The following is a 25,257-nucleotide window of genomic DNA, read 5'->3' as shown; positions in this document are numbered from 1 at the left end:
AGCCACCATGCCCAGCCGGAAACTGCCTTTGATAGAATGGATCATGGGAGGAGAGTCATTACATAATCTTCTCATGAACTATATAGCACAGACAACGTTGGTGCCTTTAAGTAGGATTATTAAGCACAGAATGTTTTTACTACATGTATTAGTCCATTCTCACGCTGCTATAAAGAACTACCTGAGACTGGGCAATTTATAAAGAAAAGAGGTTTAACTGGCTCACAGTTCCACAGGCTGTACAGGAAGCATGGCTGAGAGGTCTTGGGAAACTAACAATCATGGCAGGAGGCGAAGGGGAAGCGGCACATCTTACCATGGCAAAACAGGAGAGAGCGAAGGGTGAAGTGCTGCACACTTTTAAACAACCAGATCCTGTGAGAACTCTGTCACTAGAGAGTACTGGGGGGACGGTGCTAAATCATTAGAAACCACCCCCATGACCCAATAATCTCCCCCCAGGCCACCTCCAACACTGGGGATCACAACTCAACATGAACTTTGGGTGGGGACAAAGAGCCAAACCATATCACCACATAACAACCTTTGAACTGGGTGGAAATGAGTAGAAAAGAAGCCACTTAATCTGTGTTTCCACTTCTTTCTTGTGTCGTAGTGGTCAATGCCTAATAATTACTGAGTCTTTACTATGTGTCGGGCATTGTTGTAAGTACTTTGCATGTGTTATTCATAAATAGGTAGGTCTTATTATTATTATTATTCCTATATTCAGATGAGGAAACTCAGGGTCAGAGAGCATAAGTAACCTGCCTAAGGTCTCAGAGCCAGAAAATGGAGGAGCCAGGGTTTGAACCTAGAGAGTCCCCCTCTGTAATTCAGCCCTTACCACTATGAGATAGGGCCTCCCTCAGGGGTGAGGATTATGATATATCCATCTCCTGCCCTCTGTGCCTGGCACTTAATAGGTGCCTGCTTACCTCTGCAGCCTCGAACTATGCAATCCCCTTCTAGGGCAGTACTCTTCAATCATACCAGCCTTTCATTTCTGTACAGCAAGCTCCTTCTCTCAAGCTCTCAAATGCAATTCCTTCCAATTGAAATGCTCTCCACTCCTTCTTTTCTCCTCTATGCTGGCTGACTTCTGCTCATTGCTCTGGTCTCTGCTTAAATGCCAGATCCTTCAACCTCCAATGTGAGGTTGTCCCCTATTAACACTCTCATAGGGCCATGTATTTTCCTGTCATCCCATTTATTACAGTAATAATTTGCTTAATGTCTGTCTCCTCTACCAGACTCTACACTACAGAAGATCAGAAACCATATCACTCCAGTTAACTGACCTGTTCCTACCACCTAACACAGTGTCTGACCCAAAGTTAGCAGCCAGGAAACATGAATGCAATGAGCAGATGCTCAGTGTCTGTTTGCCAAGTAAATTGAGGCTTTAAAACAGGAGAACTAAAGATAGGGCTTAGGATGATACCTCTGTTGTTCCATGGATTTGAACCTTTACATCTTATACCCAGGAAATACTATTCAAATTACATAAGGTGAAGTCAGAACTTACTGTTGGCCTTAGTGCCGGGTTACTGGTTCAAGAACTCTCTGCTACTCCAGGTGTTAACCTGTTAGTTGCAGGATCATGGGATGGTAGTGGGGATTGTTCAGAAACATGGAAGAGTCACTCTGGGGCCGCAGAGTAGACATTTATCAACTGAGCTGGAAGTATTTCGATAGTCTAATAACCAACGTAACTATACTCATACATGCAGCACATACCTGGGCCATGAGTAATCACTTGAAAACAGCCCACGAGGGATTTCGCATGGAGCACCAACTTCTGAATTGCTAAGTCCAGAGTCATTACAATAATTTTTATGGCATGAGTCATGCATCCAGCATCATAGTATCAGAAAAGACAGACACTTATGTGGAGTTGGGTCACGAATGTTATATTGCAGAGAGACTTTGGATGGGTCCCAATTATAAACAGGTGGAGGAGAAGGGAGCCACACAGCAATGTTTTCTGGGCATCTTTTATTAGCTCAATGCCTTGAGAAGTCAAAGATGCTTAACCTGTTTTTTCATTAGCATTTTTGATTTCGCTAATAGGTCACTAGAGATAGGCTCACTAAATAATGAAATTGAATGTGCTGCCTCTGGAAGGGCAAGGTTGAGATTCATGTGTGATGGCAAAGCCTTTCTTTTTTGAAAGGTTGGCAGAATGTGCTCTTCAGCGTCAAGGGGCCAAAGATCAAGTGGTGATGGCTGGACTTCGCATAGTTGGGAGCTGTAGCACAGGCAGGATGCTGACTGCAAATGAAAAGTAATTTTCCCTGGAGTAACTTGACCTTTCTTTAATCCTAAATGTAACCTGCAGAGGCACTAGCTCTTTCCCCTGCAATGTGGCATCATTTTGCTGGCTCTGATGCTGATTGAAGGTCAACGTGAGGGCTATCTGTACCAGAGGCAAAGGCTGCTTCTTTGCCACTCTACCACATGTGATTCTTTTTAACGTTCCTTCCCCTTTTCCCTTGTTCCCAATCTTTTCCTTTTGTCTTTCCTTTTAATCATTTTCCTGGCATATATCTCAAACTTGCTGGTGGCAAACAGAACAGAATTTGTTATTGACTCCCAGGTCAATAACAAACAACAACTTGTTTTATGGATTATTTCAGGTCAAATCCTATTAAAGTAAATGTCTCCATTGTGGGGAAATCTCTCTGAATAACCAAATAGGGCATCTAATCCTCAAGTAAGGGCCAGCTTATTGCAAGCAGGATTTGATAACAGGGTTTAGAAGGAGCTCAGGTGGACTTTGTTTCTAGCAATAAGGCAAACTACATGACCTAAAATCCTTCCCTCTGTAAAACACCTATAAATGTTTTATAAAATATAACAAACATCTTTTAAAATGCATAGCTGAGCTCATAAAAATGTAAGGAAAATCTCCAAGGGTCTAAAACAAAGAGAGAACCAAAAGCAGAGTGATAGGTGTGAACTGAAACTGGGGCTGCCCTGGTTTTGTGTATGTGTGTGTCTGGTCTTTGTAATCAGATTGGGTTTAATGCGCTCCAGTGGGAGGGAAAGTTGGATCTTTCAAAGACCCTTCATAAAGCCAGGACTGTCAAAGGAAAACTTCATCCTTCCAGCAAAGGAAGATGTGAGAGGAGATTGCTTGTCTTAGCTTGAACTCTGGTTGGGAAAAAAATGAAAGTCTCTGGGAGGATTCCTCTGGTTGTCATATGTTTGTTATTTAAATTTACACTTTAAAATGATTAATATAAAAGTGAGCCAGTCTGGCTTTAACCCTGGGGTGTCTGATACAAGGAAATGAAAACATCTTGGGAAAGATATATGTTCAACCCAAACAAAATGAGAGTCTCACAGATAAAATCCTGCTTGAACATGAGTTTACAATCTCAAATTACAAAATAGAAAGCTTCTGTGTGTCAAGTCACCGGATTTAGGAAAACAAAACAAAAAACAAGACATAACAGGACACCTAGTTAACTTTGAGTTTCAAATAAATAATAAATAATTTTTAATATAAGCATATTCCAGATATTACATGCATACTAAAATATGTACATACTAAAAAATTGTTCACTGGATATATGAAATTTAAAGTTGATTGGGTTTCGCATATTTGGCAGTCCTAAATGTGCAAAAGTCAGGAGATGCACAAAAGTCTGGGGTGTAGGATGAGAGCACCCCAGAACTTCAGATAGAGTACTCAGATTGTATACTTTTAAATGATCGAATACAATAAAGAAAGTCTTGACTATATGAGAAGAGAAAATCTTTTTCAAATGTTTGGCAATTCTTGAAAAAGAACCAAATGGGACTTTTGAAAATATGAAAATAAAGTCATTGAATTTAAAGAGACAGACAAAACAAATTCTTAGGGATGGATTAAGCAGCAATTTACACACTATCAGAGAGAAAACTAATAGGCGAAAAGACAGCTCTGAGTACCCAGAGAGCAACACAGAAAGGTGGAAAATATGTGAGAGGGGTTGGGCCTTGAAGGATAGAAAGATAACGTATGCCCAATACCAGTTCTCAAAGGAGAGAATAGAAAGAATAAGAAAGAGAAAATAATTTAAGAGATGATGACTGAGAATTTTTCTAGACTGCGAAATAAAAGGGAATTCTTAGATTTAAGAAAGAGCATGTTTCTATCAGAAAAAACAACCATAACAAAATCCCAGTGAAGTCCCAGCATGATGTCTCATGCCTATAATCCCAGCATTTTGGGAGGCTGAGGAGGGAGGATCGCTTGAGCCCAAGAGTTTGAGACCAGCTTGGGCAACGTAACAAGATGTTTTCTCCACAAAACAAACAACAAACAGATCCCCAACCATATATAAACACATGATAATGAAATTACAGGACATTAAAGACAAAAAAAAAACTTAAAAAAAATTATTAAAGACTAATATTGGCCAGGCACGGTGGCTCACGCCTGTAATCTCAGCACTTTGGGAGGCTGAGACGGGCGGATCACGAGGTCAGGAGATCGAGACCATCCTGGCCAACAGGGTGAAACCCCATCTCTACTAAAAATACAAAAAAAGTAGCCGGGGGTGGTGGCAGGTGCCTGTAATCCCAGCTACTCGGGAGGCTGAGGCGAGAGAACGGCGTGACCCTGGGAGGTGGAGCTTGCAGTGAGCTGAGATCGCGCCACTGCACTCCAGCCTGGATGACAGAGTGAGACTCTGTCCAAAAACAAAAAAAGACTAACATTAAAAAGAAGAGTAAAAAGGAAACAGATGAGGAAGAAGAGTACAGCTCACTCTTTGGCACTAGACAGACCTATCTTCAAGCCACAGCCCCATGTCTTCCAGACGTGTGGGCAGTGTACTTAATCCCTTTAAGCCTCAGTGTTCATATCTGTAAAAGAAATATTTGGTGTATAACTATCATTGCTTATCCTAACAATCCTGCAAAATGCCTAACACAAAGCCTAGTTTGTTTGTATGTATTCAGCAAAAAGTAGGTATTGATGTTATTGACAGAACTAATTTCCCTGTGATATTAATTCCTACTGTACTCTCCCTATGCAGCCAATCTCAGGGTGATTACTGTTTAAGTGGATGTCCTATTGCAGAAAGTACATAGTATTCCTGCTGGAAAAGTTTAAACCACTACCACAGGGCTCCCTGAACCCTCCAAGACAAGCTGTAGAGATCATGCCTCACCACAGTCAGCAGAACATCTTTAGGTTGTTCAGAAAACCACTAAGAAAATTCCTCTTTGTACCCTCCTTTTCTTCAAACCTTTCCTAAAACTCAGAGATAAACACAGGCCAACTCGTAAGCCTTTCTTGACCTCTCTCCAGATGAGCATCTGAAGTCCTGTCATGTGGTTCCATAGCACTTTTCTCTACCACAGATTGCATTTTTTCAAGTTTAGCTCCTGCTAGATAATTTTCCACCTTCTGCTGTTACACTCCAAGCTTCATGGAGGCAGCGTCTTACCTATCTTGCTTACCACTGAATCCACAGTGCCTAGTACATAGCCTGCGGCTTTTTAGGAGGAACCTAAAAAGTTTTTGAATCTGCAGGTATGGAAAAGAAACTGGAAGTCAGGAATGGAATTCATTTGCGTAGTTGCTGTACATAAAAACATGGCATTTTTCTGGAGTCGAAAGGGACTGCAGAGACTATGTAGTTTTTCCATTGCTTTTCCAGTGAAGGAAATAAGGAGTTCATCAGTTTGTCTTACGGTCCAGGGCTATTAAATAGTAAAAATCAGGCTCAAATGCAGTTCCGCCAGTTCCCAACCAGTATTGCTTCACTTTTGTCATGTTGCCTCCCTGACCATGGCCGTGTACGTCAAAGAAACCAGGTACAAAAGGACAAATAGTGTGTGATTCTACTTATATGACATATAGAATAGGCAATCTTATAATATAGAGACAGAAAGTAGATTAGAGGTTATCGGAGGCTAGAGGAAGGGAGGAATGGGAGTTATTGCTTAATGGTTACAGAGGTTTATTGGCAGGGGGTCTGGGGATTGATGAAAAAGTTTCAGAAATAGACAATGGTGTGGTTGCACAAAACTGTGAGTATATGTAATGACACTAAACAGTGCTCTTAAAAATGATCAAAATGGAGCTGGGAACTGTGGCTTACTCCTGTAATCCCAGCACTTTGGGAGGCTGAGGCCGGCAGATCACTTGAGGCCAAGAGTTCGAGACCAGCCTGGCCAACATGGTGAAACCCAGTCTGTACAAAAAAATACAAAAATTTGCCGGGCATGGTGGTGCACGCCTGTAATCCTAGCTACTCAGGAGGTTGAGGCAGGAGAATCATTTGAACCTGGGAGGCAGAGGTTGCAGTGAGCTGAGATCGCGCCACTGTACTCCAGCCTGGGTGACAGAGCGAGACTCCATCTCAAAAAAAAAAAAAAAAAAATTCATGTTATGTATATTTTCCACAATGAAGAAAAAAAGAGGTCATGACTAATCATTCCCCAGTCACTTTGCCTTTCCAGGCCAGTTGTGAGGTGAGGACAAAGTCTTTACTGAACATTAAAAGGAAAAAATCACTATGAGGAAGGTGTAAAGAGGCAAAGACAAATGCATGGTGTAGGGCTATCTAATTAAAAGTGATACCTCTCTATTTTTTAACCCACAATTTCTCAGCAAAGTAAAATCTGTGACTTGGTACTGGAAAAATGCCAGTTCTACATCATTTTTCTGCATATGGTGTAAAATAACTGATAAAACCATAAAAGACACCATATGGCACAGATGAAAGAGAAAAAAAGGAGTTCTTTTTTGTTGTTGTTACTCAATGAACAATTAGTTCTCTGTTATTTAAAAAAAAAAAAAAAAACTAAGGTGCCATTAGGAGAAAAATTTCCAAAGTGTCAAGAAGACATATTCAAAATGGAAAGAAAGTTGGAAAGATAAATACAATAAGCATTCCTTTAGCTATATTTAGTGGTGTCCTGCAGAGAAAAAAAATTCTAGTTAGGCAGCATTAAGACATAGTTTATTAATGCAGTTTCCCCCACAGCAGGACACAGAAAGAGAAACTGGTAAAACAGTAACATTAAAAAATTATGATTCCTACATCTGATCTTTATGAATACATAGAAGAGAAACTGTCCTCTTGAGTCATCCTTGGGCCATATTGAGACAGAGATGCAAAAGATTATTATTATTATTTTTGCTTCAAAGCACTATCTGCTCATGCATGGTTTGAACAGACTGAAAGTCACCTCCCATATTTAGGGAATTTTTCAAGTATTTATAGAAAGACCCTATGTAAGATTTTGAGCAGTTCTCCCAATGACATTTTGAAATAAAGCACTACAGTCTTTTGTTTTTAAAGAATGTACAAAATTGAAGTCTGTTTGTATTGCCTTTGGGGAAATATTGTAGTAGGTAGTAATCTGGTTATAAATGGAATTTCCCTAGAATCTTAGAGCTGAAAGGGAGCTTATTGATGATCTAATCCAGTGTTTTGCATAGTGCAGCCTGTGCCCCACCGATGAGTTACAAAATCAATTTAGAGGGCCACAGTTAGCGTTAGGAAATAAAGGAGGAGAAGGAATAGAATAACATTGAATGAAAGAGAAAAAGTATGTTATACATACTGTTTTGTGAAATTTTTGTTTCAGTGGTATGTGTGTCTCTCTGTCTAACTGAGGTCACAATATAAAATATATGTGTCTTACTGTGAGTTCTGGTCCAAATATTAGAAATTATCAGCCTAATCAAATATCTTCCCATTGCAGGCAAGATAACTGAAGCCAGAGGGGGAAATGATTTTCTCAAATCAGACAGTGTATCAGAAGTAGCCCAGGTCTCCTGTCTCTCAGTATCCTTTCCATTAGACTCTAATGCCTAAAATATGCTTGAAGGCGGATGTCAACCCTTGTCCTTTGATTTCCGTACTGCCTTGGCAGCTGACATTCTATTCTCTTTTGGAGCATTTCCTATGCTCTGAATTCCCTTTTCTCCATCTCTAGCACTCCCACGGCCCTTCTACCACTTGGGATCAGCGATCTTGTGTGATGCGGGCTGGTGTGCGCAGGGGCAAAATATCAGCGCTTAGGCTTGCATGGTCCATGACTCACGGATAGCTCATGGTAGCTCAGAAGATTTGGAGTTCCACAGCTCACTGCTCCCTGGAGCTGATGGGCCACATGAGGAATAGAATTACAGCCTCCTTGTGAAAAAGAGGGAAGTACATATGACCACTCACTTAGAGGGCATGCTCAGAAACAAGACAGCTAGCTGACAGCTGTGGGCTCTGGGTAATTCCTGCCAGACTCAAGCACTCTAGCTGATTTTCCTGGGTCAAAACAGAAGCATGTAGATTCTGTTCTATAACTGCAGAGATAGAACAGGATTATGAAAGAGGATCATGTCTGGAACTTAAGGTGCCTCTGTTTTTGAGTTAGAGGAGAAATGTTCTACCTCACCAATAAACTCTTATATTGCATTTGCTGTGTGCCAGGCACTATTCTGACGATATTATAAATATTTACTCATTTAATCCACATAATCAACCTCAAGGTCTTAGAGGACTCTCCTAGCTGCAGTTGTAGGCAGAAGGTTGAGAAACATTGAGATGTGTTAAAATAATTTGTTTTTCTTTCTGATTCGAAGACAGGAGGGTGAGTACACTTAATAGAGTTTAGAACTATGTCACTGACAAAGCGAATTAATCAAAAGTCAAATCCAGGGAGAAAGGGCAACTGCCTACTGTCACTTGGCAGAAAGAATAGGGAAGAGGGTTGTCCTTGCAGATTCATCACTTCTTGAAGCTTTCCAGAAGTGGTGATGGATTTGCAATAAGCCATCTGCTTTTTTTTTTTTTTTTTAATTTAAGCCACCCTCATATATTTGTAGTATAGCTGCCTTGGTGCTGAAGTTTGCTTGGGTCCTGAAATCACCCACTCAAACCCATGTGGACCTGTGCCCTTGGCCTTATGAACCAGTGCCTTGCATAGCGCTAGAAGAGGGTCCTTAGTAAACAATTTATTGAACCAATTTACTATCACATGTTTAAAACTGACACTGACCTTGGAAACAGCCAGATTTGACTTTGATGATGGAAATTACTGAACGTAAGAAGGGCAAAAGTTGTTTTTTTTTTTGTTTTTTTTTTTTAAAGAGGAATAAGAAGTGAGGTTTTTTGTTTTTATTTTTGGAAGCACCTGTATGTGCTTGTATGCTTTATATGTTAACATTTAAATCCCACAATATTCTGATCAAATCTCCATTTCACAGATGAGGGAACTAAGTTAAATGACTTGCTGAAGGTAGGTAAGGAACAGAATTCAGAATATTGTCTGCCTGTAGAACCCATTACTCTTTGCAAATCATGCTGTGGTCTGAAAGTTTTTTTTTTTTGTTGTTGTTGTTGTTCATTTGAGAAATGATTTGTCCATAGCAGCATTCACTGACCATGGCGAAACTTTAATTGATCTTTCCATGCCACAGCCTACCTACTATCTATGAGGAACAGCAACAGTTAAAACCCATTCTGTAATTAAGTCTTGGTTCCATTAACAACTCCACCATGTAATTAAACTTATTTCTCGAACAAGCAGACACGGTTCACTAAAGAATCTGAGAAGAGCCATTTAAATTATGCTCAGTGTTTTGCTCTGGGTTAACCACGATCAAGTCTGGGCTTGGAACTGAAGTTTAGAAAGAATGTAGAGAATGCTGCTGGCCCAGAACTCACCAGTGCTGAATCTTCATGGGATCCAGGATGTATTTCCTGTGCAATCTGTGAAACTTCTAACTTATTACTGCTCATTGTTTTCCTCCATGAATATGTTGGGTAAAAATGCAGGTTGCTGAATACTTGTCCTGTTCTTGGAACAGCCTCCATTAACTAAAGCAGCAAATCTAATAGTGAAATAATCACCAGAAATGGAAAATGTTTCTTTCTGAAAGGTGTAATTATGAGAGGTATCCCATTAACAATGTCTTGAAAAAAGATAAATTTCCGATTATCAGTACATTCTATGGCTGTACTGTGCAAACACTTGACTTACACCACAGAGAGTTTATGGACTATTTTTTTTTTAAGGCTGAGATAAGATTTGGCTTAGCAAAAGGCACTGAAAACATAAGGATGACATTAAATAGTTAAATTACACACTATGTTGTAATGCAGAGTGAGAAGGGGAACCCCCAGAGATTTAATAGCTTCCTGAGTCTATAAAACCCTAGGTTTACAAATGCAAGTCAAATAAAAAACTATTAAAGTTGCAACCAAAAGTTGATTTGAGTTAAAGGTCATTAAATAAAAAGAAGGTAACAGGCAAGATCACTTGGGCCCAGATACCAAAGAAAATGCCAAAATAAAACACCAAGGGCCGTAAAATACAAATCAAGCTCTTCCTCTTGAGATAAAAATCCAAAAATAATTTGTTTGAAGTCCTAGAAAGGGTCCAAATGTCATACACAAAGCACTGTACGCCTTCATGGTCTCACGCTGGCTGCTCTGAGGGGACCATGCACTTAGTACCCAGAAAACAGTACAACCTCTTCAGAGAACTGGATGACTCCAGATGTTGGAGATTATGATCTTCTGAATCCATTGGAATTTATGCCAGGAGATTTAAGAGAAGAATTAATTTATGACTTTCTCTACCTGCTCCCAATGTGGGCTCAGCTTATCATCTGTACACATTGTGATGCACTGTAATTACAACGCTGATAATAATTTGCAACATGTGATCACGGTAGTTAAGTTTAAAAAGGGGGTGTTTGTCATATTTTAGTCCCCACATCTGATTCTATCATATTTGCCAAATGATTAATATAGGAATATACTACAGTGAAATCCTTTCACATCGAAGTTTTATTTGCCAGGAAATAGAACACTTTCCTCCCATCTCTCTCCCCATCTTCCCCCACATTTTAGGCTAAACTCAAATTTCCAGCACCAAGGTTCATCTGAGTGAGGACAGGGAGTCTGCTCTTATCTTTGTTCAATTCTGTAAGTTCCGTAGTCACAACTGGAATGGATATGCATCCTTTGTTTTAAAAACACATCCACAAGAAAGAAAACCTAAATCTTATTCTGAAAGCAGATGGGGCATCAGAAACATCAAACAAGTTAAAACCACAGGAATTAAATTATAAATTTTAAACTCCCTTTTATTGAAATATAAGTTTGTTTAGTATATTTACACCACACTTTATGCACATATATACAGAGAAGGTAAATTCTGTAAAATAAAATTTTTTCTTAATAAAAAATGAAAATCAAAACAAAATAAAGTGCATAAAACTGATTTTTTTTTTTCCTTCTGGTGAACATCATCGTTGTCAAAATTTTGGTCGGTTGCGAGAGGGAGGAAGAAATTCATTATTTGACTTAGTGCATACAGCTGACCCTGAATTTGTAGCCTTCAGGCCAAAATGACAAGAGGTCAGGAATGAGTCAGGCAAATTGTCAAGGTCTGCAGGGCTCCCCAGAGTCTGGAGGTCCTGCTCTCTTTGTCCTATCGCGAGCCGTCCCCCTGCTTGGAACAGTGATCTCACCATCGCGGCGCTGGAACAAAGGGAGAACACAGGAAGGGGGCTCCACCAGCCAATGTCACAGCCCTGCTCCGGGGCCACCAGCGCTCTGTTTGGTAGAAAATTGCAGAATTAGCTCAACGGCTCAAACGCAAGTTTTCCTTTTTCGGAAAGGGAATGAGGGGGGGCCCAAGAATGGGGTGCATCTCCCACAGGGACGGCCACTCGGGGGCCAAACCCCAGTAGCCAGTTTCTTCGGATCCAATCCCCGTGCTGGCACAGTAAAGAATCCTTTTATAAGCTGGGTGGAGAGAATGTTACACTTCTCGCCTCGGTGAGTTCGTCCTCCCAGAACTTTGAAAGGAAACAGCGTGGGATTGAAAGAAAGGGGCAGGTGGGTGAAAAGCTGAAGTTTTTAGACACCTTTGCGGGTGGGCGTTGGCCGGCTGGTCCCTGACAGTGGCAGAGGCGACCGCCCTTCCCCCCATCATCCATACCCCAGCCCCAGATCTCTCTCTTTTCCTCCCGGTGACACTAAGTCCCAGACCGGCGGCCGTACTTGGCCTTACAGTGCAAAATGTGCTTGGCGAGGAAGTCGAGGCGGCGCTGTAGCAGCTGAGCGTGGGGGTCTGCAAGGGCGGCCAGCTCGGGGAAGCGAGGCTCGTGGCGCCGGTAGAGGCGCAGCAGCCGGGCCGCGGCGTCCTGTCCGCGGTGCAGCTCCAGGACGCGCCGCGCGGTCCGCTCGCGGAACACGCACACTGACTGCAACAGCGGCTCGTTATACTTGTCCCACATGCCTGCTACCCGGTAGCCGTGCACCAAGCCCGCCTCATTGTCCAGAAAGACCAGCGCCCCGCCCGGACCGCGGTGCAGGTTGCTGGTGGCACGCTGCATGACGCGCGGGTCCCACTGCAGGCTGAAGAGGTTGCTTACGAGCCGGTCGAAGTTGGCCGTCAGGTAGTCGAAAAGGATTAAGTCGGTCCATTGTACTAGGTCCACCAGCTCCGCCTGGCTGAGGTTGGCCAGCTCACCCCCGGCATCCCGGAGGGGGCGCAGACGGCCGTCCTCCGAGCGCCAGGGCGCGGGCACCACCACGTCCGTGAGGTTGGGCAGCCAGCGTGTCAGGCTCACCACGCTGCCCTCGGTCCAGTGCGCAGCGCGCAGCTCCTCCTGCACCTGCGCCCACTGCGCGCCCCGAGCCTCCACCCGAGCCAGTGCCAGCGGCGGCACGTGGCGCTGGAGGCCCAGCAGGCGCGCCAGATAGTAAGACAGGGCCTCGCCCTGAATCTGCTCCGGGTTGATGCCGTAGCGCACGCAGGCGCGGGTGCCGTCGGCAAAACGGGCCAGTCGGTTGGAGCTGCGCCCGCAACCCCCGCGCTCCAGGGCCACCATCCGGGCGCCGCGAGCCGCCTCCAGCCACGCCGCCGCCTGGGCCTCCGAAAAGCCCGGGGGCACCTGCTCCTCCAGGCCGCGGCTCCAGAAGACGCCCCCGTGCACCGCGGCGCTCTCCTCCGGCCGGGGCTGCCTGGCTGACACGTGCCACCTGGGCTCGCTCCGGGACTGCCGGGGCGGGCCGTCCGCGCCGGCCGCCAGGGTGAGCAGCGCCCGGAAAGTTTTCAGGGAGCCGCCGCGGGCGTCCCACGCCAGGGGCGGGGGCAGAGGGAAGCGAGGCGCGGGCGCGGGGCCGCCGCTCCGGGCCGGGCGCCGTGGGAGTCGGTCTTCGGGCGGCCGGGAGGCGGGCAGCTCGGTCCGCGGCGGCAGGAGCCCTCCCCACAGCGCCAGCAGCGAGCCCAGCGCCAGCAGCCAGAGCCCCGCGGTGGCGGCGGCGCCCCGCATCCTCCTGCCCATGCTCCCGCGGCTGTGCCGGTGCGCCGCCGCCGCTTCAAGCCGAGCCCAGGCACCCGGGTCCCGGCGGCGAGGCGGGCCCGGCAGTTTGTGGGCTCCGGGGCTTCGGGCGCTTCGGCCCCATCGCGGCCGCGGGGCGCTGCGGGGCTCTGTCCGGCGCTCCGCCCGGCGCTGGGAACTCGAGTCCCCGCCGCTTCCCAGCTGCTTTTGTATTTCGCTGTGAGACCCTCCGGTGGGCGCGATTCACAGGCGCCCGGACCACGTGGGAGCCAGGGGGATCCCCCTCCCCCTCCTCCGCCTCCGCTCCCCGCCCCCCGCTCCCCCGCCCCCTTCCTCTCCTCTTCCACTTAAAGCGGCGATGGCTCCTTCCGAGAGGGAGAGGCGGCCCCACACTCGGTCCGGGACTTGGGGGCCTGGAGGAAGCCGGACTGGCTGCGCCCGCGCCGGGGCGTAGGAGGGGGTGGCGCAGAGCCGGAGTCTGGGGCCTGGCGGGAGGGACGCGCCCTGGGCCCTCGCGGGGGTGTCTTGGTCGCCGGGTCCCTTTGCCTAGGCAGCGCGGGTCTCCTGCAAACTTCAGACAGATTTCCACCTCTTTCCGAGCTCCGCCAGGCTAGGATCAGGCAGGGTCCCTTTGCTTTCTCAGTTTCTGTCTGGGTGATTCACGCTGCTTTATGTAAATCTCTGGGAATGTCTCCGAGCCACAGAGGATGTGATTCCAGCGGAAAGAGGAACCCGCTGTAGCCAACAACTTTGAACCGACACTCCCTTTTCCGAGCTCGCACATCAGCACCAATCAGTATTGGCCGCTCTGCCTTTCCCAACGGACTCCCAGGGAATGAAGCCTCGCTGTGCACGTGCCCCTTGAACACCTAGGCCATCTCCCATTCATTCATGCATCCATTCAACACAGCGACTGCCCCTCAGTTCTGGTTCTGCTTACCAGAAGCAAAATCCACAGATCCGGGTCCCAGTGCTGCTGAAATTTACATTCCAGTGGGACTCTCAGGTTGCTAAGAGAGATTATAGCCATCCAACCTCGTGTTGGGGAGAGGGGAGTCAGGGACGACTTTTCGAAAGAAATGATACCGTTTTGTCCATGAGGAAACTGAGGCACAGAGAAGGGATGGGTGTTGCTCAGGATTGCACAATTAGCAAGGGGCGAAGCTAAAAGTCAAACTCAGGTCTCCTGGCCGCATGCACTTGATTTTCCCTCCATTAAGAAAGATCAGTATTTTTTTTTTAATCAAGTCAGCATTCTCAAGTTTGAAATTCACTGTCATTTGACCACTTTGTTCCCCAAATGTGATTTTTCAATTAAAAGGATTTTTCAAATGGAAAGGAAAAAAACCTCAATCCCATACTGCATTTGATTTACTGCTTTTACGATTTAAGGGAAAAAGAAATGGTGGTGGTGGTGGGGGAGGGAGGTGGTGAAGGAGCAAAGAAAACAAAATGAACAACCTCTTCACCCCAACACATCTTCCAGCCACCTCTGGGTTACATTTACCAGGAAAACTTGGATGCCAGTCGGCCCTCCCTTACCTCTCTGTATCAGAATGAGTCCCAGATCCACACTGAGATTCCCAGGGTAGACACAAGATCAGGGGCATGGTGGAATCCACCTCTCAAAGGCCAGAGTTTGAAATCTGTTTCCTTACATGGTGTGTATCTTTTCTCTCCTTTCATCTTCCCATCAGGTGCACATGGGGGTTTTCAACTGGACTACCTCATCAGTTGGCACTGATTATGTTTTATTCTCCAAAGAAAAAACGTTCTAGGGTGATAGAGCGTTCCAGGGTGATAAAGCAGACACTCTTATGTTTATGGCTGAGCAGAGGCATCAAAAAACCACATTTGGAGTATTGCAGCACTGACCCAGGATACAGTCAAGTGTTTTCACTGGTGTGGTTAAGTACATACTGGATGAACTGTTGAATCTGTTCCCAACCACATGGTGGCTATACCATGCCATTTTATAACTCTTATCTGATAATGAGATTACTATGGCTCCCATATGGTTGCATCGAAATATATTAATCCATTCAAAGGTCTTATTTTTTTGGCCTATGTAAGCCCCTCCTCATCTTTCCCTAGCAGGCAGGGACTATGTCTTATTTTTTTATTTCTTATACCACCTAACATAGTATATTACACTAAATAAGCACTCAATAAATTTAATTTTTTTGTCTTTTGGTTTAACTTCTACTGGGATATATATGTATTTATTTGAAAGGCAGCCTCTTTCAGCGTGGGCAAACTATAAGCAAGATCGCCACCTAGTGGGCATAAGTAGAGTATCATCTAATTGGAGAAAAGTAGACATTTTTAACTGGATGATTAATTGTTGAAGTTAAATTCGGAAGACTATTAAATGTCTACTGTGTACCAAGCTATGTCCTAGGGGATATGGAGAAATCCAAAGTAGTTGGGGTCTCTGTCTTTTTGGCTGCTAACAAAAGCTGTAAGTAACTACCATTGTAAACTTCCTGGGGAGTCTGTCTTGTCCATTGTTTTATGGCTGCCTGGGCACAATGCCTGGCACTTAGTGTGTGTTCAACAACAATTTGCTGAATACATCGTTAGAATGCTAATGAGATGCAAGTAGCATGTATCAAGTTTTTTTAAATTAAATACCTTACTACTAAATAATGCAAAACAATTTTGTCCAACGGTTGTGAGTTATTGTTCAGCTGATTAAAGAATACAAAATAAGAACTTCCACTCATTTGAAAAAGAAAAAATATTGGTGAGGGTTTTGCATGATAGATGTGAGGGGAAGCACATGATTTTAATTCTGGGAGGGCTGGCTTCAAATCCAGAGACTAGAAATCCTGGAATCTCCTAACCATATTGCTGGTACTGATGAAAAAAACCCAGACTTAAATAAATTGACTAAGATCGTACACCTCATAAGATGGACTAATTTTATCATTGAGCAGCCCTTTGCCTATAGCCATAGGACTGAATGCATCATGTACCAGAACAGGATGCATTAATTTGTTAAACTTTAACAAATTAATTGAAATGCAGAAATACAGAAAACCAAAGGAACAAACACTGCCCCTTCCTCAAAGTGGAATGCAGTTTTGGAATGGTATTTGATTATTTGAGACAGGGTTTAAAAACATGCCTCTGTTTAGCTGTTAGATGAAAATACTCCCATTCTCCTTTATTTTCTGGACTGAGGACACTCCCCTGCCACCTGTGGCCAAACCACTTTGGCTCTGTGGGGTAGCATAGTTAATCACCTCAGTCACTTCTGCCCTCTGGCAGTTGCTTGGGGATGAGAAATCCATTTGCACTTTTATGACTTTCTTAATACTCCTTAGAATTTATCCCTGAGCCTGAACTTCCAATATCTTCAAACTTTTCCACAGTCCTGTTTGAAGAATGATCTGGTTCATGTAATGGTGCCTCCTGGGGGAAAGAGAGGAGGTGGAGTTGAGGGTTGGAAGCAGGGGAGGAGGCTTGGAATTGGAATATTTTCCAAGTCTGGCATTAGCACTTTCTGGCTTGTTCCTTGTTCTAGTTATTTACTTTCTGTGAGTTTCAGTTTCAGAACCTGAGAAATAAGTTAATAAATCCTTCCTAACTCACAGGGTTGTCATGCAGCTCAAGTGAAATATTAATAATAACCACAGCATCAGTGGCAGCAAACACTTATTGAACTCTTATTATGGGCTCGGTGTGGAGCTAAACCCTGCATGTGCTTTATCTCATGAAACCCCCCCAAAAGTATTATTATACCCACTTTACAGATGGGGAAGTGGAAGCTTAGCCAATCAGTGGAATGAGGTCATGCAGCAAGGAAGTGGCAGGGCTGCGATTCCAAAATGATGGGGACCAAACCTTTTGTAAATTATAAACTGCTAGGGAAATGTCAGGTGCAGAAATTATTACATTAAATCAAAATAGATTCAACTGAGATGAAATTTTGGTTTCATGTGTTCTCTGGGGTTTGTTCCCAAGTGAAATGGTTAAGAGTGTGAACTGTCAAGCCAGATTGTCTCATTAAAACCCAGTCCTGCCACTTACCAGGCATGTGACTTCGGGTAAGTTACTTAACCCCTTTGTGCCTCAGTGTATATATCTGTAAAATGCAATAAGAACAGTATTACTAGTATTACTAACAAAAATTATAACAATATACAATATCTCATGATTACTAGTAATAGGAACAAATCTTATAGATTATTGTGATGATTAAATTAGTGCTTATATTTAAAGTGCTTAAAAGAGCATCTAAGTGTTCACTATAGTATAGCTGTTGTTGTTCTTTTTCCTTTCTATTTCCTTTCTATTTCACTGTTTCAGTGCTCAGATGGGGATGTCTTCCTTCTCTTGTTGCTGTCCTCCACCAAGTCTCACTTGGTCTTGAGAGACCTAATACAAGTGGTGTTCCAGCTCAATGCACCTGCTTTATGCCTGAAATGGTGTCTTTCCTGATAATTTTGCAATATTTCTTCCCCATGGAGCTGGACCACCTGGCTTCTACCAAGGTTCCCAGTGTAACTCTTGTTAAATGCCCAGAGCCTCCAGCCAGCCTCGGGCAGACAGCTTCTGGCTTCCTCTCACTAGTCTGCCTCCTTCAATCCTGACCTTTTCTGGATCTCCTGAGTTATAAGCCCCTGGAAAAGACAGAGGCGTCCAAATGTACCCTTCCACGTGCTTCTACAAAAAGGAAGAGAGGGGACAAAAGATGTCAGAGATGAGTATAATATTCCATGGAAGTGGTATGACTCCTACATTGGCCACTACTCTTTGACCCTGGGGAGTTTTCTAACCCCCTGGGCTATAATTTTATTATGTATGTATCTCTGTTACGGACTGAATGTTTGTGTTCCTCCTTGCACCATAAATTAATATGTTGAGATCATAACTCCCAATATGGTGGCATTAGGAGGTAGGGCCTTTGGGAGGTGATCAAATCATGAGGGTAGAGCCCTCATAAATGAGATTAGTGTCCTTATAAAAGAGACCCCAGTAAGCTCTCCAGCTCTGTTTTCATCATGTGAGGACCCAGAAAGAATACCGCTGCCTATGAGCAAGGAAGAGTAGCCCCACTAGACACCCAGTCTTCTGGCACCTTGATCCTGGACCTCCCAACCTCTCTCTCTCTGTCTCTCTCTCTCTATATGTAGATAGATAGATAGATATCTCTATCTATCTATCTATCTATCTATCTATCTATCTATCTATCATCTATCTATCTATGTATCTATCTATATATTTTTTTTTGAGGCAGAGTCTTGCTCTATCACCCAGGCTGGAGTACAGTGGCACAATCTCGGCTCACTGCAACCTACACTGATTTTCTTGCCTCAGCCAATTTTCTTGCCTCAGCCTCTCGAGTAGCTGGGATTACAGGTGTGTGCCACCACAATTACGTCCGGCTAATTTTTTTTATTTTTAGTTTTATTTTTGGTAGAGATGGGGTTTCTCCATGTTGGCCAGGCAGGTCTCAAACTCCTGGCCTCAAATGATCCCCCCGCCTTGGCCTCTCAGAGTGCTGGGATTACAGGTGTGATCCCCTGCGCCCGCTCAAATGTTTGTTGTTTAAACTACCCCAGCCAATGGCGCTCTGTTATAGTAAGCCTGAACTAAGCCATTCCCTCCTTCCCGTCTTTTCTACCCTAGGGTACATTATGTTTCTGCTTGAGGATCAGTTTCCTTTTCTTGGTATCTCTATTTGACTATGATCTGGGTCTTCCAAAAATTGCTTAACTGATCTCATTCTCACATTCTTGGCTGTCAAGGGTGGGTATATTGATGCCTGGTTCCAGATAAATCCTACTGGAGAGCTAGAAGGAGGTCAGGAAATAGAGTAGTCTTTGAATGCAATGAACCTATCTGCTTGAACAAGTCCCACTTTTAAGAACACATTGTGTTTCTGGAAAGAAAGTCATGGTTGACAAGAACCTTGTAAATTGTGATGAGACACATTTTTACGATTCTCTTTATTCCACCTAGCTCTCTTTTGGACCTGCTTTGCAAAGGTTCCTGCAGACACTAGTGTTAAAGACTCGAATCTAAAGGTTGGAGCACCGGTGAATCAATTTAGTAAATTTTAGAGCAGTCGCCAACACATATTTCAGTCCTGGTTACAGAGTATGATGGTAAGAATTCTGGACTGGGCATTTGGAGACATGAATTTCTCTACTATAATTTAGTTCCACAGACATTTGTTGCCCACATGGTAAAGGCCAAAGGACTGAGGAATAAGTGATTGGGCATCAGATCTTCCTTCACACCTGCATCAGGGAACGTTTGTTGTCTTCTTTTCATCCTCCGCCTTCCCTTCCTCCTTTTTGGCAGGTCTCTACCTTCATCCTCTGTGCCTTTAACCTTTAAGGGATGCTGAATCCTGTTTGGGCTGAACCAGTCATGGTGCTTTCAATTCCTTGCAGTGACTGGTTAAGGCTTAGGCATGTGAGACCATTCTGGCTAGTGAATGTTACGGGGGAAGCCCAGTGGAAGGTTTCTGGAAAAGTTGTCTGTACTCTTACAGAGACACAAGAAAGATATGGCACCTTTTCTGCATGGTTCAGGCTGGATGGGAGGCCTGGAACTGAGGAAGTCATGTTAATGCAAGGGGAACTACGTTCACACAATCAGGAAGGCAGAGTAGAGAGATGGAAGGAACCTGGATCCTTGCTGATGTCACCAAGCCCCCAAGTTAATCAACTCTGGAAATGCCCTTCCTCTAGATTTCCTGTGGTTTAAGCTACTCTGAGTTGGGGTTTCTGTTGTTTGCAGCCCAAATTCTCCTGAATGACATACCCTTTCACATCAGAGCTTACAAACTAAGGAAGGAGGCTGACTTATAAACAAACAGATCTCTTCCATCACAACTGGGCTACTGGGAAAGTAGTGTGGTTTAATGTTTTGGAACATGTGCTCTGCAGCCAGGCTGAGTCTTGCACCTATGAGCTGTACCATCTTGGGAAAATCACTTAGCCTCTCCGGACCACTTAACTCATCTGTAGAATGGAGATGGTAACTGTACCTGCCTCATTATTGTATGGATAAAATGTACCTTAAGCACTTAGAAAGGACTCAATAAATATCAATTGCTGTAGATATTATGGAAATAGAAAGCACACGCAGGAGCATAGAATAGGGAGTGACTGATTCTGCCAGGGAAGTCCAGGAAGGCTTCACCGAGGAGGCAGGTGTTAAGATGAGTCTTGAAGGGGAAGTGGAGATTTACAGGTGGGGTGGGAGATTCAGCCAAGTAGAGGGAACAGTGTGTGAGCTCAACAGCTGTGTGCCCACAGGCAGATTACCACATCTTTCAGGAGCTCAATTTCTTTGTCCTTGAAAGCCCTTGAGTGTGTTGAATTAGCTTAATCCTCTTTTGGCAAAAGAAGTAAATCTCAGGCCCCCGCCCTAGATTGAGAGCCACCTCATTAGAGACCCTCCATGGCCCCTTCATCAATAACCTATGATTGTTGGTCTCAACCCACCCTGAAAAAATTCACTCAACAAACACTCCCACTAAAAGAGGTGACTCTCGTTCTTCTTTGTTGATTTCTATTCTTCGTTGCCACCCAGAGATTTATCCAGTGCACAATTAGTGATTCTGTGCCTCCTCAGCTTTCCAAGGCCCCACATATCTCATCAGTCAGATAGATGCTGAAGCTTAATTAAGCTTGTAAAGCTTTCTGATTTCCTCAGATGAAAGGTAGTTCATAAGTACCAGGTTTTATTTTGGTAGCTCCTGCCAAGGGTTATTATAAATAGGACTTAGTGCGACGTGGCTAAGCTCTTAGGGTGATAATGTGTCAAGACCAATTGAGGCTGCCGAAAGCAGAGATATTATCATAATGGTTCTATCATAGGCGGTGGGTGTTAATGGAAGTAGCTGTGAAAAAAAGAAAGTACTGCAGCCAGCAAAGCCCGGATCGAGATGGTTGCAAGTGAAATATCGGCTGCTCATGGGATCTCCATCATAATCATTAACCATATTAGCCTTGGAGCCATTCTTCTGCCATCTCTCCTAGACCAGGCTCACACTCAAATAAAAAATGGATGCTTTAACTCCAAATGAAAATATATTCCTTTGCTGCTTTTTAAAATCCATTTACATTAAAATGATGGCCAGCAGGTAAGTAATTTGTAACTGGGGGCTTACTGCAGTGCAGAAAAGTGGCTTCGGAATAGTGAGTCACCTAAGTGGGAGACCAGGAGACTTCCAGACCCAGGAAAAGCCATTGCTGCTGGACTGAAAAATGGCTGGCAAGAGTAGGAAAAGGCAAGGGATAACTTACAGACACTCACTGATGGGGAATAGTGAGCGTAGAGGTAGTTTGATATTTCCACAATCAGGTGAGTGAAAAAACAGAAGTTCTTAGGTAATGCAGCCCTGGTTAAGAATGTGTTAGCTTCCAGGGCCCTAGCTTTGGTTGCCGAAAATCAGCTTTTTGCATTCCATAGGCAGACAACATCATTTGATGATGTTGGTGATGGCAGTGATGGTGATGATCATGATGATAATAATGATGTACCCTGTTGTCAGTTGAAGCCACCTGCTTTTTTGAGATCCAATTGGACTTAGCCTAAATTCCTATTTGTATTCCTATTGTATGGTCTCGGTGGCAGGGAGGTTCAAAGACTTTCCCCTGTTCCTGAGAGTCCCTGGAGCTTTGTGCCTCAAACTTCTGTCTGTGTCCACTTCCTGCTTTCACAGTTGTGACTTTGGCTCCAACACACATCAGCATGGGTGTGAAGTTCACTGCCTTAACCACCCCCCCGCCTGCATTTGGACCAAGATATCATGAGTTCATTGACTTTCCTGAAGATCTGGTGGGGCTCGCTGAGGAGAGGTCACTGCACTGCGCAAGGTCTTCATCCATGCAGCTGTCTTCTCTTTCCTTTCTCTCTCCCGCCCGTGTGGGGAAACAGGTGAAACTTTCCTCTTACATCATGTAAAACAGGGCTACTCCCATTCAGGATCCATTCAGGATCTCAGCTTCTAGTTCAGGTCAAGGTTTTTCTAGGGATCAAATTGGGGGGTCCCTGAAGGGATTTCTGGTAGACACAATTTAACATTTTCAGCATACTTTCTACACGTCAGGCAGTGTGCTGAGAGTTTTCCAAGCACTTAATCTTTAAGATCCTCCCACAACACCGCAAGATCTTATTTTCCCATTTCATTCATGGGAAAAAGGAGCATCATTAGAGTAAGCCTCAGACCAGAAGACTTCTGCTATTGGGTAAAAGAGGAACCCCAACTCTTGTCTGCCAAAAGACCAAGGTTATGTTAACTACAATGCCACTTGGCTTCCTGGGGCTGAGAAACACTGGTGAATTAGCAAAGGGGACTCTTACAGGGGAATTGCCTCTCTCCTTAGTACCTGCACGTCGTCTTTCTCAAGGCTGTTTGATATAGGTACTACCTGCATCCTCATCTCTGCTGAATGATTAAGCCCAAGCCCATTTACTGGGAGGTACGTTGCAGTACAGAAAGCTCCACAGGATTAATACCTTATTGAGTGGGATGTGATTGATCCAGAAAGAGGAGGGTTGGCCTGGCAATCCTGGAAATGGCACTGTCTCTGTCTGGGGAGCAGATCAGCCTGGACAAGAATGGCAATGCAAGAACACCTGCTGTCATTTCTCCTCTGGTTTTGCCCCTCCCATGAGCAAACTCTGAGATTGCCCCAGGGAAGATGCCTCTGTGGGGCTGGGTGTGTTTGTTTCACACCACACATTGAGACTTGATGCTGAATGTCTCCTTCCCTTTCATTTCACCTGAAGAATAAAAGAAGAAAGAAACTTTAAAGGCCACTTCTTGCTGCTTGAGTTTAAAAAATGGCTACATTTTACAATCTCGGCCTGAGGAATAGCAGGACAAAAGCTGAGGAATAACAATGGTTATTATCTAGCTCCTTGCAGTTTGGCCGAGCAGTTTCACAGGCTGATCTCATTGGGTTTTCAAAACAACCTGCTAGGGAGGGGTAGTAAGGCAGGGGTTAGTTACTGTTCCTACTGATGAAGAAGAAAGCTGAGCTTCAGAGAGTTGCGTGATGAGCCCTAGGTTCTCAGCTAGTTCCTGACACACCAAGAACATGAATGCACTTTACCTGAGTTTCACCTCAGAGGTTTTACAGGACACTCCGTCTTTGCCCAGTGTGACTCACATCTGCAGATTCTATCTCTATCTCATGTTTTCCACATAGTTACAGGTGCATGTTACCTGTATGTTACAATGGCTGCTAAAACTCCAATAATGAGGACAGAAAAAAGAAACCAAGGATTGCTAAAAAGCTAGAATATTTAGACACTCCTTTCCCATTCCATGGTGCTTTCTCTCTCTTTTTTGAGACAGAGTCTTGCTCCATCACCCAGGCTGGAGTGCAGTGGTGTGATCTCGGCTCACTGCAACCTCCATTTCCCTGGTTTAAGTGATTGTCATGCCTCAGCTTCCCAAGTAGCTGGGACTACAAGCATGTGCCACCACACCCTGCTAATGTTTGTATTTTTTTTTTTGGTAGAAACAGGGTTTCACCGTGTTGGTCAGGCTGGTCTTGAACTCCTGGCCTCAAGTGACCTGCCTGCGTTGGACTCTTCTATCTCTGTTACTAGCACTTATGAAAGAAAGGAAGTGGGGAAGGAAAATGAGCAAGAAAAGTTAGGGAAAAGAGAGAGAGATTATTTTTAAATACTTTTCTCTGCTTACCTGTTTCAATAAGCAGAAGAGCTAACCAAAGAAGTCAGAGAAAGAAAGTGCAGGTAATCACTGATTATTGACTTATTTGCTGAGTGAAATTTTTTTGGGGGAAAAAGATTATACAACAACTCTGAGATAGTTAACAGGAAATGGTAACAAGCAAAAAGCTTCCTCCTGTTTTTCTGCTCCTGTGCATGATACCCCCTCTCACTCAGGGCAAAATCAAGTCAGCAGATCAAAGCATGATGTTAAACTTTGTCTTCATCTCTCCCCATTGGGAGGGCCATTTAGTTAGGGGTGACAACAGGTCTGCATGGCTTTTTAGGATAAGTGAGAGTAGCTGGACTATAGAAGTCTTCCCACCTTGGTTTTCTCATTTGTAAAAATAGGATATTAATGCTTGCCTTGCGGAAGTATTACAAGAATTCAATGAGATTATGGGATTAGAGCAAGTGAAAAGTTATAATGCAGTTTCTGGCATATAGTAGGCACTCAATAAATATTAAAAATCACACATGAAGCTGCACAGAATGTCTTGGAGGACACACACTAACCTGTTAATGGCATTACTCCCAAGAAGATGTTTGTGTGTGGGGGGCACTTTCACTTTTATACTGCATACGTTTTTACTTTATAACTCATTGTGGGAATGATATGTAAGTATTAATGGATGTGTGGATGCTCACGTTAAGAGTTATGATCAGATAGAGAGTACTAATGTGACATTTTTGTACATCTGTCTGTGTGATTGTGAAATCTGTTTTTTGTGGCTTTCTTTTGAGACAGGGTCTCGCTCTGTCACCCAGGCTGGAGTGCAGTGGAGCAATCATAGCTCACTGCAGCCTCGAACTCCTGGGCTCAAGGGATCCTCCAGCCTCAGCCTCTCAAGTAGCTGGGAGTACAGGCACATGCCACCATGCCCAGCTAAGTTTTTAATTTTTTTGTAGAGACGTGGTCTCAATTTGTTGCCCAGGCTGGTCTTGAACTCCTGGGCTCAAGCGATCTTCCCACCTTGGCCTCTCACTCCTGGGATTACAGGCATGAGCCACTGTGCCCAGGTTGATTGCAAAATTTATACTCACTACTAGTAACAGCATCAATAGAAGCATCAATGGCACCAGCAAACACCAGAATTGGCGGCCCTGGGTATGTAAACAGGAGCGCCTTTGATCAAGGGTTGTGGGTATAAGATGTCTCAGCTACAGGCACCTTCCATTCAAGCTTTAATATTCCAGGAAGGAGGAATCTGATTAGTCTATTTTAGGACCAGGTTTCC

General features: G+C 44.2%; 1 protein-coding gene across 1 annotated transcript, besides 10 other annotated features; it reads right to left on the bottom strand.

The window, feature by feature from the left end:
* Positions 1,346 to 2,545: an enhancer, noted in NCBI's record as "BRD4-independent group 4 enhancer chr11:35650952-35652151 (GRCh37/hg19 assembly coordinates)". NCBI's record gives its function as "activates an origin of replication core promoter dependent on BRD2, P300/CBP, MED14 and CDK7 cofactors, and independent of BRD4, by STARR-seq in HCT116 cells {active_cell/tissue: HCT116}" and the evidence as "EXISTENCE:reporter gene assay evidence [ECO:0000049][PMID:35650434]".
* On the bottom strand, positions 11,084 to 13,489 carry FJX1 (four-jointed box kinase 1). The gene has a single exon (NM_014344.4). The coding sequence runs from the start codon at positions 13,310 to 13,312 to the stop codon at positions 11,999 to 12,001; it is 1,314 nt and encodes a 437-aa protein (NP_055159.2). The 5' UTR covers positions 13,313 to 13,489; the 3' UTR covers positions 11,084 to 11,998.
* Positions 11,900 to 12,534: an enhancer, noted in NCBI's record as "H3K27ac-H3K4me1 hESC enhancer chr11:35640963-35641597 (GRCh37/hg19 assembly coordinates)". NCBI's record gives its function as "activates a minimal SCP1, AML or CMV promoter by ChIP-STARR-seq in naive H9 embryonic stem cells {active_cell/tissue: H9 hESC(naive)}" and the evidence as "EXISTENCE:reporter gene assay evidence [ECO:0000049][PMID:30033119]".
* Positions 12,535 to 13,169: an enhancer, noted in NCBI's record as "H3K27ac-H3K4me1 hESC enhancer chr11:35640328-35640962 (GRCh37/hg19 assembly coordinates)". NCBI's record gives its function as "activates a minimal SCP1, AML or CMV promoter by ChIP-STARR-seq in naive H9 embryonic stem cells {active_cell/tissue: H9 hESC(naive)}" and the evidence as "EXISTENCE:reporter gene assay evidence [ECO:0000049][PMID:30033119]".
* Positions 12,535 to 13,281: a biological region, named in NCBI's record as "H3K27ac-H3K4me1 hESC enhancer GRCh37_chr11:35640328-35640962".
* Positions 12,742 to 13,011: a silencer, noted in NCBI's record as "silent region_3263". NCBI's record gives its function as "represses an Ori minimal core promoter by ATAC-STARR-seq in GM12878 lymphoblastoid cells {active_cell/tissue: GM12878}" and the evidence as "EXISTENCE:reporter gene assay evidence [ECO:0000049][PMID:35858748]".
* Positions 13,022 to 13,281: a silencer, noted in NCBI's record as "silent region_3262". NCBI's record gives its function as "represses an Ori minimal core promoter by ATAC-STARR-seq in GM12878 lymphoblastoid cells {active_cell/tissue: GM12878}" and the evidence as "EXISTENCE:reporter gene assay evidence [ECO:0000049][PMID:35858748]".
* Positions 13,302 to 13,371: a silencer, noted in NCBI's record as "silent region_3261". NCBI's record gives its function as "represses an Ori minimal core promoter by ATAC-STARR-seq in GM12878 lymphoblastoid cells {active_cell/tissue: GM12878}" and the evidence as "EXISTENCE:reporter gene assay evidence [ECO:0000049][PMID:35858748]".
* Positions 13,452 to 13,781: a silencer, noted in NCBI's record as "silent region_3260". NCBI's record gives its function as "represses an Ori minimal core promoter by ATAC-STARR-seq in GM12878 lymphoblastoid cells {active_cell/tissue: GM12878}" and the evidence as "EXISTENCE:reporter gene assay evidence [ECO:0000049][PMID:35858748]".
* Positions 13,469 to 13,630: a silencer, noted in NCBI's record as "fragment chr11:35639867-35640028 (GRCh37/hg19 assembly coordinates)". NCBI's record gives its function as "represses an EF-1alpha promoter that drives an FKBP-Casp9 reporter gene in an ReSE screen in K562 erythroleukemia cells {active_cell/tissue: K562}" and the evidence as "EXISTENCE:reporter gene assay evidence [ECO:0000049][PMID:32094911]".
* Positions 13,812 to 13,901: a silencer, noted in NCBI's record as "silent region_3259". NCBI's record gives its function as "represses an Ori minimal core promoter by ATAC-STARR-seq in GM12878 lymphoblastoid cells {active_cell/tissue: GM12878}" and the evidence as "EXISTENCE:reporter gene assay evidence [ECO:0000049][PMID:35858748]".

Source organism: Homo sapiens, chromosome 11, assembly GCF_000001405.40.
Source record: "Homo sapiens chromosome 11, GRCh38.p14 Primary Assembly".
Classification (NCBI taxonomy): domain Eukaryota; kingdom Metazoa; phylum Chordata; class Mammalia; order Primates; family Hominidae; genus Homo; species Homo sapiens.
This window is presented reverse-complemented; position numbering and strand designations above follow the sequence as displayed.